This window comes from Homo sapiens, chromosome 15, assembly GCF_000001405.40.
Source record: "Homo sapiens chromosome 15, GRCh38.p14 Primary Assembly".
In the NCBI taxonomy this organism is placed as follows: Eukaryota; Metazoa; Chordata; class Mammalia; order Primates; family Hominidae; genus Homo; species Homo sapiens.
The window spans coordinates 71,693,973-71,713,637 of NC_000015.10; the positions used below are offsets into that span (position 1 = coordinate 71,693,973).

Below are 19,665 nucleotides of genomic sequence, written 5' to 3' on the forward strand. Positions count from 1 at the left end.
CCACTGCACTCAGGCCTGGATGACAGAGTGAGACCCTGTCTCAAAAAAAAAAAAGAAAGAAAGAAAGAAAGAAAAGCCAGTGTCAAGGTTGGAGGTTGAGCAGAGGTGAGCATAAAGATCTCCTCTCAGATGAAGGTGGACCCTTTGGTGGAAACCATGTGAGAAATGGTCTTGGTCAGATCCTCTATTTGGAAAAACCATGAGAGATGGAATGGATTTCCATCTATGTTCTGGTGGCTTTATCCTTCTTGTAATGTCATGGTTGGTTCATCTGATTCAGAATACTTGGATTTCTCTTCTTTCAGTTTCTTTCTCTTTATAATCTATTTTATCCCAAAATATAGATTTGGACCTGGTTAGCATTTTTCACTTGCCTCTAAGATCTGCTGTCTCTGATGACTTTTAATAAAGGTCTGGCATCTTTCAAGTATGACTCTGGGTCAACATATTTTCTTTTAACATGGTTAAGCTTTTGCAAGGATTATACATTTTCCTTCCAGTTGTGCAGCAAGTTGCCTGGCAATTTAACTTTTCATTTCTGTGTATAGTTTAATTGAAATTTTTATTGAAATAATTGGGAATTCATATGCAATTGTAAGAAATAATGTGTTATTTCAGATTTTAACTGAGTGAAAAATTCTGCTTCCAAACAAAAGAACTGTTAAAAACAAGAAATCCAGCGATTGCTGCCCATATTATGATGTCCCAAGAAAAAGTACAGATACCAGGAACTGAACTGAAATTTTCAGGACATGCTGTTATAACTCTGTGTAGCTTTGTCAGGAGAAGCCTGAAGTACAACTCTGAGACAGTCCATAGCCCCTTGATAGCACTGAAGACCACCACACTAGACCCCACAGGACCACAGCAAACCACCCAGAACACTCCCCTGTATCCACCTGGAGTCGTGTGCACCTGGCCACCAGGATGGTCCTAAGTGCAGCAGCCCACAGGAGATGGAGAGGTGTGCCGAGGAACCAGCAGTGCATGTGATGGCCCTGGCTCTCTCTTAATTTGAAGTTTGCCTTCTGTGCCCCTTGAATTCACATCTCATTCTGTCTCCTCACGGCCCTCTTTCCAAAACCTCCCACGGAATACGCATATAGCTTAATGAGCTATTACAAGGGGAAGAACTAGAACTCTGCTAGTCCCCAGAGGCCCTTCCACAGGCTGTGTCCCAATCTTTGCTCCCTCTCTTCCTCTCTTGACTTTTAGAGAAATCATTTCCTTGCATTTCTTTATAATTGTATAACCCAAGTGTGCATCCCTAGGCATTCTGGTTTAACCTGGCCCATTTTAAATTAGGTCCTTTAAGCCTCTCTAATCTACAGATTCTCCCTTCTATCCTTTTATTGTATGTGTATGTGTGTGTGTGTTTGTGTATGTATGAGTGTGTGTGTATGTATGTGTGTGTGCAAGTTCAGTTCCTGATACCTATAATTTTCTTGAGACGCTGTAATATGGGCAGCAGGCATTAGATTTTTTGTTAATAATGTGTGTATATACACATAAAATATTTGTGTGTGTGCATGTGTGTGTGTGTGTGTGTGTGTGTGTGTGTTACAGCCCAGGGTATTTGACTGTAACATTTCTCATAGTGGTGAGTTTTGCTGATTGCAGAGCCATTCTCCCTTAGTGAAGGGACAGATGATGGTGACCACTACAGAGACAGGTAAGAAGGTAGCCTGAGTCCCAACCAACCCAGGGAGCCACAGCCCCTGCACACTCAGGAGGCAGGACGGATGTTGCTTTCTTCTTCCTTCACAAGGGAGAAGAATACCTTCAGAATCAGATTCAAATCTTGACTCTTCCTCATTGTTAGCTCTGTGACCTTGGGCAAGTTACTTAGCCTGTCTGAGCCTCTGCTTCCCATCTATACAATGAAGCTAATAATGCCCACCCAGAGACTTTGTGAAGATTATATAAGACAATAAGTGTGTGTTGGGCAAGTTACTTAATTTATCTGTAAAATGTAAATAGCAGAGGTAAAATGATTGTGATAACTAAATGAGTTAATACAGATAAAGCATGCAGGATGTGCCTGGGGCACAGAGAGGCCTCAATAAATGTTAGCTAGTTTTACTAGTATTATATAAAGTATCTAATTTGTTGAAAATTCCTGTTTATGGTACCTTTTCTTAGGCCATTTTGTGTTGCTGTTTTAAAAATACCTGAGACTGGGTAATTTATAAAGAAAAGAGGTTTATTTAGCTCATAGTTCTGCAGGCCGAGAAGTTCAAGAGCATGGCCGTGGTTTTGGTGAGGGCTTTCGTGCTATGTCACAACATGGTGGAGAAGATCAGAGGAGAAGCAGACCCATGTGCAGAGAGGGACCAAACAGGAGGAGGAACCTCACTTTATAACAACCCACTCTTTTGGGAACTAACCCCTTTACACTAGGACTAATACAATCTCATCAGAACAAGAATTCACTCACTACAGCTAAAAGGAAACAAAGCCATTCCTGAGGGATCCACCCCCAATGACCCAAACACCTCCCACTAGGCGCCACCTCCCAACACATTCAGGATCACATTTCAATATGAAATGCATATTGAAACTATAGCATAGCTATTATCAGTTAAAAGGAGAAAATGGGGGCTTCCAATTAGCTGAAGATAATGGTGGCAGCCAGATGCCCATATCCCAATATTTCCTCCCCAAATGATATAGATCAAAAAAGGGAGAAAGGAAAAGACACAAAAATCACACCCTTGGCATACCTTGAGGACAGAGAGTTAAAAATAACTTTAACTAAAGAGAGAAAGAATACCAAATCCAAGCACAGGAAAACTCATGCTTCCTTCCAGCCCACCCCACTACAGGGCTTTGAGGCAGGCAGAGAGAAAGGGAGCTGATCTATAAGGAAGAGTGAAGGAGAGAACTAGTATAGAGGCCTATAGGTGATCTAAAACCACTCCCAGCCACAAGTCCACCCAAAGCCTGAAAATACAACACGAGGTGTCCAGGTCGATCATGGTGCAGTGTACAGGACAGTCACAAGCCCATGCGACTTGAGAGGCAGCCTTCAGAATGCACAGCTTCTCAGGTGAGGAGAACAGGAGAAAGGAAGGAGGGAGTGCCCTTTGGCAACTGGGTGATAAGACGGTGAAGGAGCAAAAGGGGATGATTCAAGTGGCCACTGTTAAGAGCCCACAGATACAAGTTATTGTATAGAATGGGGAAGCATGAGGGAAAATGTGCCAGAGAGAATACCGGAAGGAATATTAAATCAGAGAGCTTAGAAAGAAACAAATCAGAAAACGAGGCAGAGGAGCCATGCGGAAGGGTGAGATGATGTAATGGAAAGGGGGATGGAGGACAGCAGCATGAACAAGATCTATGAGAGGTGCATGAAATTGGGGAGTGAAGGAGCCGGCTGGGGGTGGGACTTGCTGGGACACAGCAGCTTCAGTGGTCAAACTTGGTGTTCATTTCAGGACAACTCTTGCTCAGGGGAAGTAGGTGCATAGGCACATCGACATAGACACACACCTGTCTCCCAGCAAGCCTCTGCCAGAGGATCCCAGGGCCGGCAGGCAGGCAAAGAAGTAGGGCACATCCAAGGGGCTCTGCTGTAAAGAAAGAGTATGCACTGGGATCCAGACGACAGAAGAGGAGGGGACATGTGGTGATTATGGACATCATAGAAAAGAAATGCTGTAGAATTCAGATCAGTCCAAAACGCACCATGTAAAACAAAAGAAGAGAGGGCAACTTTGGTAACACTGATTAACATTTAGGATTTTGAAAATTTATGGTGTTTGCAAAACCTGCATTTGAGTTAAGTATTTTGCAGGGGAGATGTTATTGGTTATTTGTAGAACATCATATCTTTCCAGTTACAAAATATAAATTCATTTTGCAGCACAAGATATGATGTCTCATCTTTGAAGTTCTTTTTTCTCTATGTATGCATGGAAAGGGAACATGGTAGAAATAATCCTTTTTTTTTTTATGGGGGTAGATAATAGATGAAATATGGCACAGAACCCCCACTTCAGCACGTGAATGAGACACAGAAGGCAGTTCTCTCACTGAAGAAGGGGCCAAGGGCCTCCCCCTCATCAGCTCAGCCCCTTCTCACACTGCAGAGTCCCTCGGGACCGCCCCAGGACCTGGGGGCTATGTGGCACACTCCTTGAAAATCATTTGGTACTTGTCACTTCCTGATGCCTATTGCAGTAGATGTTGGAGCCACACAGATAAATAAGTACCATTCCCTGCCCTTGGATAACTCAGTCTAGAGGAGAGACAGAAGGTTAAACAACCATCTGGAATGTAGTCAGCTGGGTGCTAAGGTAGAATCTGAGGGAGAAGAATAAACTCTATTAGAGTGGCCGTTATCAAACAAAAGATAAGTGTTGACAAGGATACAGAGAAAAGGGCCCCCTTACACACTGGTAGTGGGAATATAAATGAGTGCAGCCACTATGAAAAACAGTATGGAGGTTCCTCAAAGAATGAAAAATAAAACTACCATCTGATCCAGCAATCCCTGGGTTGCTGGGTATATATATCAGGATCAGGAGATCCTGATTTCAATTGAGATCAGTGAACTCCCTTATTTCTTGCAGCATTATTTACAATGGCCAAAACATGGAAGCAACCTAAATGTGTATTTATAGACGAATGGATGAAGAACTTGTGAAATATATACATGCATGTATATATACATGAAATATATACATGCATGTATATATTTCACAAGTTCTTCATCCATTCGTCTATACACACACACACACCCAATGGAATATTATTAAGCCTTAAAAAGAAAAATTCTGACATTTGTGACAACATGGGTGAACCTGAAGGACATTATGCCAAGTGAAATAAGCCAGGCACAGAAAGATGAATATTACATGATACCACTTATATGAGGAATCTAAAATAGCCAAACTCATAAAAGCAAAGAGTAGAGTGGTGGTTGCTAGAGCTTGGCAGGAAGGGGGAAATGGGAGGTGTTATTCAAAGGGTACAAAGTTTCAGTTATAAAAGATTAATAAGTCCTAGAGCTCTACGATACAGTATAGGGCTTACAGTTAACAATACTGTATTGCATACTTAAAAATGTGTTAAAAGAGTAGACCTTATTTTTAAGTATTCTTATCATAAAATGGTAATAATAAAGAGGATGGGAGGAAACTTTTGGAGGTGAGTAATGTGTTTATGGCATAGATTGTGGTGATGTCACAGTCTCTAAAACTTATCAAGGTGTATACATTAAATAGCTACAGCTTTTTTTTTTTTTTTTTTTTGAGACGGAGTCTCGCTCTGTCGCCCAGGCTGGAGTGCAGTGGCGGGATCTCGGCTCACTGCAAGCTCCGCCTCCCGGGTTCACGCCATTCTCCTGCCTCAGCCTCCCAAGTAGCTGGGACTACAGGCGCCCGCCACTACGCCCGGCTAATTTTTTTGTATTTTTAGTAGAGACGGGGTTTCACCGTTTTAGCCGGGATGGTCTCGATCCAGCTTTTTTAATGTCAATTATACCTCAATAAAGTGGCTTTCTTTAAAGCCAATTATTCCATTTGTTTCTCTGCATTAGACATTTCACATTTTACTTGACAGGGACAGCCCAGAGTTTGCCAAAGCCACATCCAAACCTGAGTCCATGCTGAGATCATACAGCTTTCTATACCATACTTTCATCAAGAGCTTCCATGCCTGGAAGTGCCAAGCAACAGGAACTGGTTGAGAGATGGCAGGTCCAGAATTCTGTTCTTGATGGAATGGGTTTTCTATATTAATATGACGGTCTTTGTTGTTTCGTGGCCAGTCTCATCAGAAGGGCTTTGTGGGGGGCAAATTGTAGTCAGTTTTAAAAATTCAAATAATTCCAGGAGTAAAAAGGTCGGTTCATTTTAGGATATCTATTACGCACCAAGATGTTAAGAGAAAAATATCATCTTAATTGATACTGAAAAATTACTTGATAATATTTACTACCCAATCTGTACAAATTAATAAAAAGCTATGAATAGAAGTAAAATTCCTTAATTTGATAAGGAAAGTCTACTGGAATTCAGTAGTATTCATCATACCTAAAGGTGAAACAAGAGAGCCAATCCTATTTCGAGGAAAAGATAAGGATACTCAATATCACTATGAAGGTTCCAGCCAATGAAATGAGACAAGAAAAATAAATGAGGTATAAAGATTGTAGAAAAAGGATAAAACCCACCTTATTTATATATGACATCATTTCTTACCAACAAAATTATTGCCAACTTATGAAAAACTATTAGACCTAATCATATATTCATGACACTGTCCAGATCAAGTAAACATTTAAAACTCAATAGCTTTCCTATATATAAGCAAGAACCATATAGATCAGGTAGTTTTAACAAGATGCCATTCACTATAGCAAGAAAAATATTAAATATTTAAAATAAATGAAACAATAAATGTACAAGAACCATAGGAAAGAAAAACAAACTTTACTAAAGGGCATAAAATTTAAATAAATGACAAAACAACATATTTCAGTCGAAGACAACTCCTTACTAAAAAGCCATCAATTTCCCCCAAATTAATCCATAAATTCAATTTTTAAACTCCTCAATATTCCAATGGAATTTTCATGAGAATCACCTGATTTTAAAATTCATCTAGAAGAGCAAATGTTCAAGAGTAGCCAAAAGCTTTTGAATAAAGATGAAGTGAAAATATGTCCTACAAGATATGAAAATTTTATAAGCCCACAGCAATTAAAACACGTGGGGAAGGAACAGGGATACCAAAGAGATGGTAATGAAATGAAATAATCTAGAAATAGACCCCTGTTTGTAGTATATGATAAAAGCACATTTAAATAATTGAGGAAACAACTCAATAATCAGCATTAGGATAATAATTATTATTAAAAAATAATGTTAGATCTCTGTGTCACAGTATATACCAAGATAAAAACTATAAATATACCAAAAGAAAATATAGAAAAATAAAATCTATAAAAATATCCCAGAAAAATATTTTTAAATTTTGTGGTGAGGAGAGACTTTCTGACAAGAACTAAACTCTTTTGGCCTCTATAAGCATTAAAAAGGTTTACAAATCTGATTTAATAAGAATTGGGGGCTTCTCTATGTCAAAAGACACTATTAAAGTCAAATGGCAGACTGAGAAATAATATTTCTGAACAAAGTGCTAATAGCTAATATCCTTAATATTTTTTAAAGCTCCTGAAGTTCACTAAGAAAAGATAAAACAACCCAATGTAAAAAAGGCAAAGGATGTATGTAAGTAATTCCCAGGGGAAAAAGTACCAATGATTTTTAAATATATGAAAAGATATTTATTACCCACTAGTAATCAGGACAATTCAGATTGTTACAGTGGGGTACAATTTTACCTGGCAGATTACAGAAATTTAAAATGATGGTAAAATATAATATGGGGTAGGGAGCTGGGGGAGAAGTTTGTGACTCACTAAGTATTGAGTGTATAATGTACCACAGTAAGCAAACCCTTGATTTAGCAAAATAGTCATTAAGAGCACAAAGACCTTTATAAGAATGTCCATTGCAGCCAGTTTTATAAGCTGAAAAAATTAAATGCAACCTAACTATTCAACAATAGAAAAATGATTAAATGTTACATTATTTCCATCCTATGAAACACTCTTTAGCCATTAAAAATAATGGACTAGCTCTATATTTAATAACACAAAATGAAGGTCCTTAAAATGATGGTGGGCTAAAAAAATTATAGTAGGGTCCCATTTTGTATTAAAAAATACATGTGAACTTTTATATAATTTTGTTTATGCCTGTCCGCACATGCACAGAAAGATCTGGAAGGATTCTCACTAATTGTTAAAAGTGGTTATCCTTGTGGAGTGAAGCGAGATTGGGGCCAAGCAGAAGAAGTGAGACCTTCCACTTCTTTTAGGAGGCTTAAATTGTTTTTAATGATCATGCATTGCTTCTGTGATTTAAAAAAAATTAAAATTGTGCTGATGAAAAACATATGGAAAATAAAACTGCCAGAGGTAACACTGCTGCACAGCCTATAAATCAAATCTGAAAAGTGTCTTTGGACCAGATGCCCCCTGCCAGGCCTCCTCTCCATCTGAGGTATTCTGAACTGACAGTCTTCAGAAATTTGACTGTCTGCAAATCCATCCGTGACTTCCTCCTTATGGGTCAGGTGCTCCCATCTGCTTGCTCTTCCTGCTGCTCAGAATTCTTCCTTGAGGGCAGGCCTCGTCCAGGGGCCCCCCAGAACCACTGGACCCTGCAGCCTGGAATGTTGTAACGGGACCAGGGAAAGACAGGAGGAAGTTGCCATCAAGCCTCTGAAGCTCATAGTCATATTTAAACTCTTAGTTAATTGATTCATTTCATCATTTTGAACTCATTGTTTTAATTACATTGAATCTTTTAAAAGAATTTTTCACTTAAAGAGTCCTTGGAGATATCCTTTTGTTCAATCCTAACATTTTATGTGTAAGGAAGGGGAGGCCCAGAGAAGGATGGTTAATAAATTGTATTAGATTTAAGACCCTGAATTTGGGGGCTCAAGCCTCATTAAATTTCTTGATTCTTATGTGAGCCAACTTCTGCCCCTCCTATGCAGAATGTTACTTGAGAATGCTATTGCCACCCTGTAACCCACACACCTCCAGAAGAGCCAACATGATTATGTCTCTTCATGAGGACAAAAGTCATCAACTGGGCTTTCTGTCATGTCTTCATACCAAGTTCTTCTGACCACGGGGCCTTTGCACAGACAGTTCTTTCTTTCTGCAATGCACTTCCCTGCTCTTCACAAGGCTGGCTCTTTCCACACACTCAGGCACCTCCTTGGAGAGGCCTTTCCTGACCACTGCACTCCCTTCCCACCATTCTCCCTTTCAGCAACCTGTTTCCCTCAAAGGAGGCAGAGTCCGTGCCTCTCTGTCCACTATTGTATGCATCCAGCACATGGCACATTAGTGGGTGCTCAAAAAAGAGTTTGAGTGAATGAGCAAATCTGACACCTAGTTTTGAAAGGTTTCTGACCCCTGCTCTTTTTTTTTTTTTTAAATGGAGTCTCACTCTGTTGCTCAGGCTGTAGTGCAGTGGTGCCCTCTCAGCTCACTGCAACCTCCGCCTCCTGGGTTCGAAGGATTCTCCTGCCTTCTGAGTAGCTGGAATTACAGGCATGTACCACCATGCCCAGCTAATTTTTCTATTTTTAGTAGAGACAGAGATTTGCCATGTTGGCCAGGCTGGTCTCGAACCCCCAACCTCAGGTGATCTAGCTGCCTGGGCTTCCCAAAGTGCTGGGGTTATAGGCGTGAGCCACCACACTCGGCCAGGCTCCTGTTCTTATGTGATTATCTCATCATGTAGACCCAGAAATCTCTATTATTATTTAATTTTTCTGTTATTATTATATGGCAGGTGAAAATGATAGTTTTATTATTTTAATTTGTGTTAGATTACAAGGGAGATTTAACATATTTCCATTAGCTTATGTCATTTGCTCAGCTGTCCATTGGCATCTTAATGTTTCACTCAATCATTCCTGGTTAGTGGCCTGATTAAGCAAGGGAGGAACCTATGAGTGGTTATAACCTGAGATACAGCAAAGAGAGGGGACAGGGTCTTACATCGCACTGGGGACAGGTCTTACATAGCACTGGGGACAGGGCCTCAAGGGCTTGGTGCTCTGACACACAGGCACTGAGTCCAGCTGCAGGGCTCAGCTGCAGGCCTAAGGTTCTACCACAGCCTGGGGTGGATGGAGATGGGTCTAATTCCTAGGGAGCCTCCTCAATTTCTTCCTTGTCAGCACTGTATTCTGCGCCTGTCTCTGGTGAGGGGCAAGGATCTTGGCAAATTTTAGCCAATATTTAATGAAAAACTCTACAAAGATTGGGGTTTTTTGTTAGTTTGTTTTTGTTTTTGAGACAGAGTCTTGCTCTGTCGCCCAGGCTGGAGTGCAGTGGCGCGATCTCTGCTCACCGCAGGCTCTGCCTCCCGGGTTCACGCCATTCTTCTGCCTCAGCCTCCCGAGTAGCTGGGATTACAGGCGCCCACCACCACGCCCGGCTAATTTTTGTGTTTTTAGTAGAGACGGGGTTTCACCATGTTAGCCAGAATGGTCTCAATCTCCTGACCTCGTGATCCGCCCACCTTGGCCTCCCAAAGTGCTGGGATTACAGGTGTGAGCCACTGCGCCTGGCCTGAAAAACTCTACAAAGTTTTTAACAGAACTTAAAGTGATTTCTCCCCAAGAAACCAGTTTTCTTAGAGTTAGCACCCTAACATGAAGATTGCTAAGTGACAAGATAGCACATTACATTAATCCTTGATATGGTTTGGCTATGTCCCCACCCAAATCTCAAATTGTAGCTCCCATAATTCCCACATGTCGTGGGAGGGTCCGGGTGGGAGGTAATTGAATCATGGGGACAGGTCTTCCCTTGCTGTTGTGACAGTGAATAAGTTTCATGAGATCTGATGGTTTTATAAAGGGGAATTCCCCTGCACATGCTCTCTTGCCTGCCACCATGTGAGACATGACTTTGCTCCTCCTTCACCTTCCACCATGATGGTGACACCTCCCCAGCCATGTGGAACTGTGAGTCAATTAAACCTCTTTTCCCTTATAAATTACCCAGTCTCAGGCATGTCTTTATTAGCAGCATGAGAACAGACTAATACAACCCTGTATTATATAATTCAGAGCTAAGTATTTATTCAGTTATTATGCATGTATCCAGCAATCACCATGAACCAGGCACTTGGTCCTGGACATACAGGGGCCGGTTGGCTACAACCCCTAGCTACAATGATTTGTATGACAGACCAGGGAGAAGCATGATGGCAGTGAAAACAGCAAGTGTGTTGCAGCCTAAATCCAAGTTTGAATCCAGACTGTGACGTGCAGACACGGCAAGCCTTAGCCTCTGTGAACGAGAAGTACATAGTGATACCATCTTCACGGACTCTGATGTAAAGTGTTTGGCCTAGGGAAGGAATAAAAAGTCCACTTTGGGCCTTCAAATCAGAGAGAAACCAGTGCTATATGAAGTGATCAAGGGTGGAGGAGGTGTAGAGGAGGTAGAATGTGGGCCCAGCCCTGAAGAATGGGTAGAATTTGGAAGGGAAAATGCAGAAGCCAAAGAATGAAGATAATCCTAATCCACTGAAGGGCAGTCAAGGAGCTGGAAGAATGGAAGGGTAGCTGGAATTCTTCTACCCTTGCAGGGAAGGAGCAGGGCCAGAGGGATGGGCACCCGGAGCCAGCCCACAGCAGGTGTCCCTCAAACTGAGTCTTCAAATACTTACTGAACTTTCATTTTGAGGACAGGCTGAGCCCTGTGTGTGGAGAGGAAGAGCAAGGCGGGCGGCACCTAATTTGCACACCGCAACTAACAAAACTAAAACCCCACAGATAACCAGACCCACATTCCTCAGACGCCATTGGACTGACTTCTATTGTTAATGAAGTATTGCCTTGTTGGGGAGGGAAGTGTCTCCTCTAACCCCGAGCAGCTTATCCAGGACATTCTTCTTGCCATGCACAGGAGTTCCATCATCTCCTTGCATATCTGGTCAGATGTTGCTGTCCTGGAGGTGTTTTAGAGCCCCTTATAGACCAACACTCTCAGCAGCTGCCAGGCTGGCCCACCCCTTATTCTAGTTCTCAGAAGAGACAAGCTATTCCAGCCCTGTGTCAGGACAGCAGCCAGGAGGAAATGAGAAGCTCCTGCAGCTTTTTCATCAGTGGGGAAGATTTTGCAGTCATTCAGTCATTCAATGACTACATCATGGTCACCTACTACATACAAGGAGAATCTAAAGGAGAAAAAGCGCAAGACATGAACTCTTCCCTCCAAGAGTTTGTGGCAGTTCATATAATGAGGGAGATAAGTAAAATGCCCTATATGCCCTGAAAGAAATACAGAAACTGTGACGGTAATCCAGAGTGGGGAGACATTACTTCTAGTTGGGGTGGCAGGGAGAGAGGCAGAGAATGCTTTGAGAGGAGAAGGATCTTGAAGGATACACAGGCTTTGGGACATGCAGACATGGTGAGGAATTGCATCTAGAGAATCATAAAGCCTCAGAGATTGTGTAACCCCTTATTTCACATGTGAGGAAACTGAGGTCGAGGCTGGTAAATGGCAGATTTTGAAATGGAGCTTTTTTCTATTCAGCACTCTCCTCACCTGGGGCTGGCCTTCCGAACAGAAGACAGTGTGGGCACCAACCTGGGGTGTGGAAGTTTTGACTGCTCATGGTGGAATGAGGATGCAGCTTGCTTGTAAAATAGGATTTTGTAGTTGATTCGCTGCTAGGGGTAAAAGAAGAGCCAGGGGAACCCAGAGGTCTCCAGCCTGATGACTGGGAGGACACCTGAGCCAGTGAACAGGAGGAGGCAGGGATGGGAGAAAAAAATGGTGTGTTTGGTTTGGGACATGTTGAACTGGAGGTTTTTATAAAATATACAGGGGAAATCTCTAACAGGTTGGGGAAACCTGGTGCTGGAGTTCAGGACAAAAGATATAAATTGTGGATAGTTGGGATTGTCCAAGGGATAGAATGCAGAGAAAAACAGAAATTGACCAGAGAAGGTTGGTGGACAGTGGTGAGCATAGCCACCTTCTAAAGACTGTAGCACCAGCTCCCTTCGGAGAGGAGAACCAGGAACTGGACCCGAGGTAGACAGAGGTTGGAGAATGCAATGCCCTGGAGGTGAAGATGAGAGATTTGGGGAGAAGCAGTCTACATTCTAGCAAAAAGGGTTAACATGCTACCAACGTGACATCTGAGAAAAGAGACAGCTGCATCTAGCAGCTACAACATCTCGCATGACCTTTGCAGGTGCGAGGCAGCCAGAGTGAATGTTATCTAGGAAGTTTGACACTGAAGAGGAGGAGGAGGATTAAGGGGTGCCAGAACTGAGGCAAGACGTGGTTTGTCTTTTCCTTTTTAAGGCTAGGATAATTGGAATATGTTTCCTGGAGGATGGAGAGGAGTTGGCAGAGTGGGAGATAAGAGATGGGAGGGAGAAGGGATGCGTGACAGAGGATAATCCTGAAGGAGGCAGGAGGGGTTAAGGTCAAGGGTGTGGCCTACTGACAGTTGGAGTTAGGGTCTCTGAGCTGAGATGGGAGGGTGGTTCTGAAGGGTGAAACAGAGGGGAGCCTAGAAGTCCCAGCAATCAGGTCAGTCTCACGCAGCACGAAAACCACAAGCTGAGACTCCAACCTTGGGAGAAACCCAAAGTTAAGGGTCAAAAAGGCATCAAGGATGGGACAACTGAAAAACAGCCGTGATGTCCAGAAGCCCACACGAGTTGGTCAGTAGTACCCAGCCCAGAAGACAGGGCTGACTGAAGATGACCAACAAGGATAAAGTTTGCTTTTGAAGACAGATTAGAATAAGCTATAGTCCATTAAAGCCACATACCAAATGCATGATTTCCCTGCTTGTTCTGCACTTTAGAGTCCAAATATTTTAATTAAACCAACATGTGAATATCAGAGATATCAAAAGAACAAGAACATTATTAATTTGGGAACCAAGGCAACTAACCACTTTATTCTTTTAAGTCATTTCCTCATTTAGCTCCAATCTCGGTAACAAACATTTCGATATCTCTACGATAATTTTCCTGGATTTAAAACCACAGTTTTGATTTTTACCCCTTGGGGATTTATTTCTTATCTCTTGGGCCCTTTTGAACAAGGCAGTTATCAGATTAACTTTTAGCTCACTGGCCTGGGGTTGAATAGGTCATTTCCCTCCTGAATCATAGGCTCCTAAGAATTCAAGCCAAAATTCCAGGCTGGCTTTAAGTAATGAATACTGTAATTAACTTCTAACCAAGCAAGCTAACATTTTGCTTGGAGAAAGCATCCTTTTCCCAAACAAATGCCTTTCAAATAAAAACAATTTCATGCCCTCTTTTTCCAGCCTGATACTTTCCAGGGCTTGGGAATAACCACTGTGTTGTGCAAGAGTATATTCTTGGAGCCTCTTAAAATCCAGTTTGCTCTGGTTTTTGGTTCTGCCATAGAAGCTGCACCATCTTTTAGGACTATATTGTTTTTAAGAGAGTTAACTGAGTTCCCTTCCATCTGTACTGTCTGGGAAGTTTTGTGGAAGTCCTGCCAAGCCTGGTTAGATGTGACTTCTGTCTGCCCAACTCACTGGACACAGGACAAAAACAGATCCCAGACCTTAGCAGATTGGGACTGCAGTCTGTGATTGAACGTCATCAATGACCTGCCAAGGCTGGGGAGGAGGGAGAGTAGGAGTGCTCTGACCCAGCAGGGGAGAGTATTTTACACGATGATAATAAAAAGCACCACTTCTAGACAGTTTTATGACTGTTTTTCATCCTCTGTAGACAATGCACCTCCTTATTGCCTGCATCTGGGACCTACCACGCCCAGTGCCTGGCCAAGGGCTATCGGCCTTGTCTTTAGCCCAACCCATGAAATAAGTGAAATGAAGACCTGTAGTAGGGTCAGTAATGGGAGTTTGAATGAGACAGTCTTGAGAAAATACCAAACGTGCAGCCAGAAAAACAAACTATATAGAAACTAACTGAAAGGGTATATCATTTAAGTGTCAGCTGTGAGATTTTTTTTCAGTCCTAGGGCAAAGCCATGTCAGGAACCAAAAGGAGAATAAGGCATCACATATATATATGCAGCAAGGAATTCATCTTGAGCTGGGTTAGGAATTTTTGCCAAACGGATTTTCATTCTGACCTGGAGTGTCTTTTGGTGTTTTGTTTAGTTTGGTTTGGTTTGGTTTTTGGCTGAGCCATGCATGTGGCAGTCTTTCTCTGAGGAAGTTTTTAAGTCACCACCTAATTTCTGTCAGCACTTAAAGTGAGGGGCAAATAGCGTTGCCCTGAAACCTGGCCTATTTTCTCAGCACTGTGGCAAAGACCCCTGTCCTGCTGTTATGGTGCTGCACACAGCTGTGCACAGAGCGTGGGTGGCCCTGGAACACTGCCACACGAAGCAGCGCTAAGCCGAGGTTTCCCTGCTGTGAGGTCCCGTCCCTGGACTACCGTGGACTGTGCAGTTACGTGGGAGGTAGAGTCGCGTGGTGTACAGATCACAAAATGGATTACATCCCCTACTCTGCTACATACTAACCATGTGGTTTGGGGGCACGCCTATTCTTTGCTCTAAAACTAGCTTTCTCACCTGGAAAACGGGATTGGAATAAGGACAGCCAGGGGGAGGAGTAATTAAAATAAGGTGTGTGAATTTACTCTGCGAACTATAAAATGCTACAGGGATGTAAGGGTGAATTGCCTACAGGTTCTGCTGATTTGGTTTTCTGGTTGTCGTTAGGCCTTAGCCAGTAATTAGTGACCAAATGTAAGATGGGGGAAAAAAGGGTTTAGCAGCAGCACCTGTGTGAAAAAAAATCAAAGCGTTTTTATCATGTAGGTGGGGTTCCATGGAAAGCTGAGCTGCAGCAATTGAAGTGGACTGTGGAGAAGAAGGGGCATCACGGTTCTGCTCTCCTGTGCCATGATCAGACCCGTCCTAGTTATTACCTTCCAGGGGGGCTCCTCACTGGTCTATAGATGACGTAGATCAGCCGGATAACATGTGGCAGGAGGAGGCATCTAGGAAGCACCAGGACCTTAACTGGAAACGCTGGGAAGAAAGTGAAGCTGTCTTCGTATTTTCTTAAGGGTCTTATGTAGAAGTTGGATTTGACTTGTTATCCCAGCTTTCCAGGGAAGAGTAAGAGCACTGGGTGGACACATGCAGGGTGTAGATATTAGCTTATCTAAGGCATGGTTCCCAAACTTTGCTACAAATCAGAATCACCAGGAAACTTTCAAATCTCCCATTGCCCAGGCCATACCTGAACCCATTAAATCAGAATTTCTGGGAGTGAGGCCCAGGCATCAGTTTAAAAAAAAAAACTTTTCAGGTGCTTGCCATGGGCAGCCAAGTTTGAGAAGCAGTGATGCATGCAGTAGTAAAAGCATCAGGACTAGTCAAGACGGGGTGAGCGGCTAGGGATGTGGGGAATCCCCTGCCTCTGAAGCTGCTCAGATCCAGGCTGGATGTCACTTGGTGATGATGAATTCAAGCCTTCCGCATAGAGGTAGACTAAGATAGATAAACTTCAAGCTCTTTCCCATCCTGAGGGGGCTGAGTCAATGCTCCAAAGTGGAAGTTTTCCAGTTTATTTAATTCCAAGGAACTATTTGTTCAAATAACATAAAATATTTAAAACAAAGCAACAGGGAGGTGCCCCCCTCCATTCCATTCCACCCTCTGTTCCAGGATGACCTCTGAGGACACTTTGTAGAAATCTGGAAACTTAATGAAAATCTCTTGGACTCCAAGGAACACAGTTTTAAAAACCACCAATTTAAGGGAAGGGAAATAGGATTTCCACAGAAATTATTTTCTTACTCAGCCATCTGTAGTTGGAATCTTGATTATTTTGATGAATAGAAGTAGCAAATCCCAAATGGAGGAGGGCCAAGATAAATGACCATGGACCTAATCTGTTTATTAGTTGGGAACATGAACAGCATCAGCCAGAATGTGGTTGACCCAGTGCCTCAGAAACTAGACCCAGGTCAATTTTGGCTTATTATCTTGGTGCCACATAGAGGATGTAAGACCCACCTCATCTGGCTCATACGGTATCTTCAAGGGGAAAAATACTTTATTATTATTTGTGAAAGTTCCCAAGCTCTGCATTCACAAGTTGAGTGTTAAGCCTGGATTGAGCTCTTTCCTTATGACCTGCAGTGAGCAGAGCAGGTCTTGAACCTAGGTATTCTCAGTGCCAATATATTTTTACAATTTCATGGTACGTTCTGTTCCACACAGACTCTAGTTCTGTATCAAAGCTGTAACTTACAAATGAGGAACAAAATGCAGCCTGGTACAGGGGAAAGAAGTAGCATATAGGTTTGAGTCCTGGTTCAACTCTTCACCAGCTGTGTCAGAGCAGACAAGTATCTAACTTAGTTTGCTTGCCTCTTAAATGGAATTCATTATATCTGTTTACCTATTTACCAAGATTATTGTGAGGTTAAAAGAAAAAGCCAAAGTCATATCCTCTTAAGTTCTATAAAATATGCATGATTATTGAAAGCAAAATATATATATGTATATATATATACATATATATATATAACATTGGGAGAATTTCAATATATGTAGATGAAATACACATGGCAAATATAACATAAATAGGGGAGACTTGAAGGACCTTTATTTTGTGTTTGTTTGGTTTCAGATTTTTTTTGAAAATAGGCTTTATTTTTTACATCAGTTTTAGGTTCACGGAAAAACCGAAGGTACAGAAAATTCCCCTATATTCCTAGCCTCCACACATGCAGAGCTTTTCCCATTGTTGCTTTTAAAATTTCTACATTTTGTTTGAAATGGTAAATATTAACTCAAAGTAGACTATGACAAATTAGGTTTGTATGTTTTAACACCTGGACAACAACTAAAAAATAGTTCAAAGAGATATGACCAACATGCAAATAGATAAATTATACAGAATACTGAAAATTATGCAAGTACAAAAAAAGAAAGGAAAAAGAACAGAGGAATAAAAAAGGTGACAAAGAAGAGCAATAAAATAGAGCGAAATCTAGTCATGACTCGTTGTAAATACAGATGGTCAGATTAGATTGAAAAAGAAAGACCCAGTGATATGCTGTCTATAAGAAATCCACTCTAAAGGTAATGATATATATAAATAGATTTAAAGGAAACACATTTTTGAAAAGATATTTCGGGGAAATACTAATCAAAAGCAGGAGTGGCTATATTAATATTACACAAAGTAGACTTCAAAACAAGGAAACATTACCAAGAATGAAGAGGCAGATTACATGATAATAAAGGGGAAATTAACCAAGAAAACATAACAGCCATAAAGGTATATGCATCTAAACAGCAAAACTCTAAAACACATGAAGCAAAAACTGATAGCGTTGAAAGGAGACATAGACAGATCCCCAACAATGCTTGGACACTTTAGTCTTCTTCTTAAAATAATTGATAGAACAAGTAGAGAACTTGACCTAATTGACATTTATACAACACTCCAACCAACAGCAGCAGAACACATATTCTTTTCAAGTGTACATGGAACAGTCACTAAAATAAACTATATTCTGGGCCATAAAACAGACTTTAAAATTTTTAATATAGCTATAATATAAACATCGCTTTTCTCATCATAATGGAATTTAACTGGAAATCAGTAACAGAAAGAGATCTAGAAATTTCCCAAATATTAAAAAATAACATAGGAATGAAACAACACACTTCTAAACAATCACTGAATTAAAGTGGAATTCTCACATGAACTTAGAAAATATTTTCAGCTGAATGAAAGTGAAAGTACAACATGTCAAAATGTGTGGGATGCAGCTAAAGCAGTGCTTAGCAGAAATCTGTGGCATTAAATGCTTATCCTGGAAAAGAAGAAAGAGCTCAAATCAATAATGTGATGTTCAACCTTGAGAAACTAGGAAAAGAAGAGCAAGTTAATCCCAAATCATATTTCTTTGGATTTTGCTTTGCAGAAGGGAGAATTGCAGAAGGGAGGAAACAATAAAAACAAGAGCAGAAATCAGTGAAATTTAAGACAGAAAAACAATAGAGAAAATTAAGAAACAAAATACTTGTTCTTTGAAAATATCAATACAATTGATAAGCCTCTATTCACAGCCCTTTACCCTAGTACAACCCAACTATTCCTCAACTAAGGAATGAATGACCTAGGGTACATCGATGAAATGGAATACTACTCCAGCAATAAAAAGAATAAACCACTGATACACACAACATGGATTAATCTCAAATGCATTATGCTAAGTGGAGGAAGCCAGACTCAAAAGACTACATACCCTATGCTTCCGTTTGTTATGACATTCTGGAAAAGGAAAACCCATAGGTGTGGAGAACAGAGCAGTGGTTACCAGGGACGAACGACTGGGGAAGGGGAATTTTTCAAGGAGGTGAAACTAATAAATTTTAAAACATCAAGTTTACATCTGTAAAAGTTGAATTAATTGTTGAATCAACATACTGCTATGATAATTGTTAATATTATGATCAATAACGAGGTAGCCCAGGCTCCTCAAGCCAAGGAAACCTGGGAAGTTTAGTTTAAAAGGCTTTTGGGTAATGGTAGAAAACAGTGACTGGAATCGTCTTAATCCAATATGCCATCATTGTAATCTTAGAACCCCATATGCTCTGGTCCCTCCCATTGGGCAGGACAGCTACCACAGTGTCCTTGCCAAGCATTAAATTCCCCCTGTTCCAGGGCTGTGTGGCTACCCTCTGGCCTTTGGGAACTGCCCTCAGGAACTGTCTTGGTCCTTCCTGCTGTTTTCCTAATGAGCTCCTAGTATCCTCTGCAGGGCCCCAGAGGCTGTTGTATGGAGGTCACTGTGCCCACATGGCCCTCCGCCCACACCTATGTTGCTGATTCTTTCAGCAGCTGTTGCCCCTTGGGGTTCTGAAAAAGAGATATAGTGGGGTTTACACAATCTTACAGCATCTTACGTTTTATTGATGTCATGCTCGAATGTCTTCCATCTAGCTTGAAAATAGATTTATATAAAGCTTCATTGTGATATTTCACAATCCCCTCCCATCGCCATGACAACCAGGGTATCATTAGGGAGGAATCAGAT

At 41.5% G+C, this 19,665-nt stretch overlaps 1 protein-coding gene across 10 annotated transcripts in view; it reads left to right on the forward strand.

Moving 5' to 3' along the window:
- The window catches only part of THSD4 (thrombospondin type 1 domain containing 4), a 686,490-nt gene that overhangs the window by 597,079 nt on the left and 69,746 nt on the right, over window positions 1–19,665 (forward strand). The gene's annotated exons all lie outside the window — the stretch shown is intronic.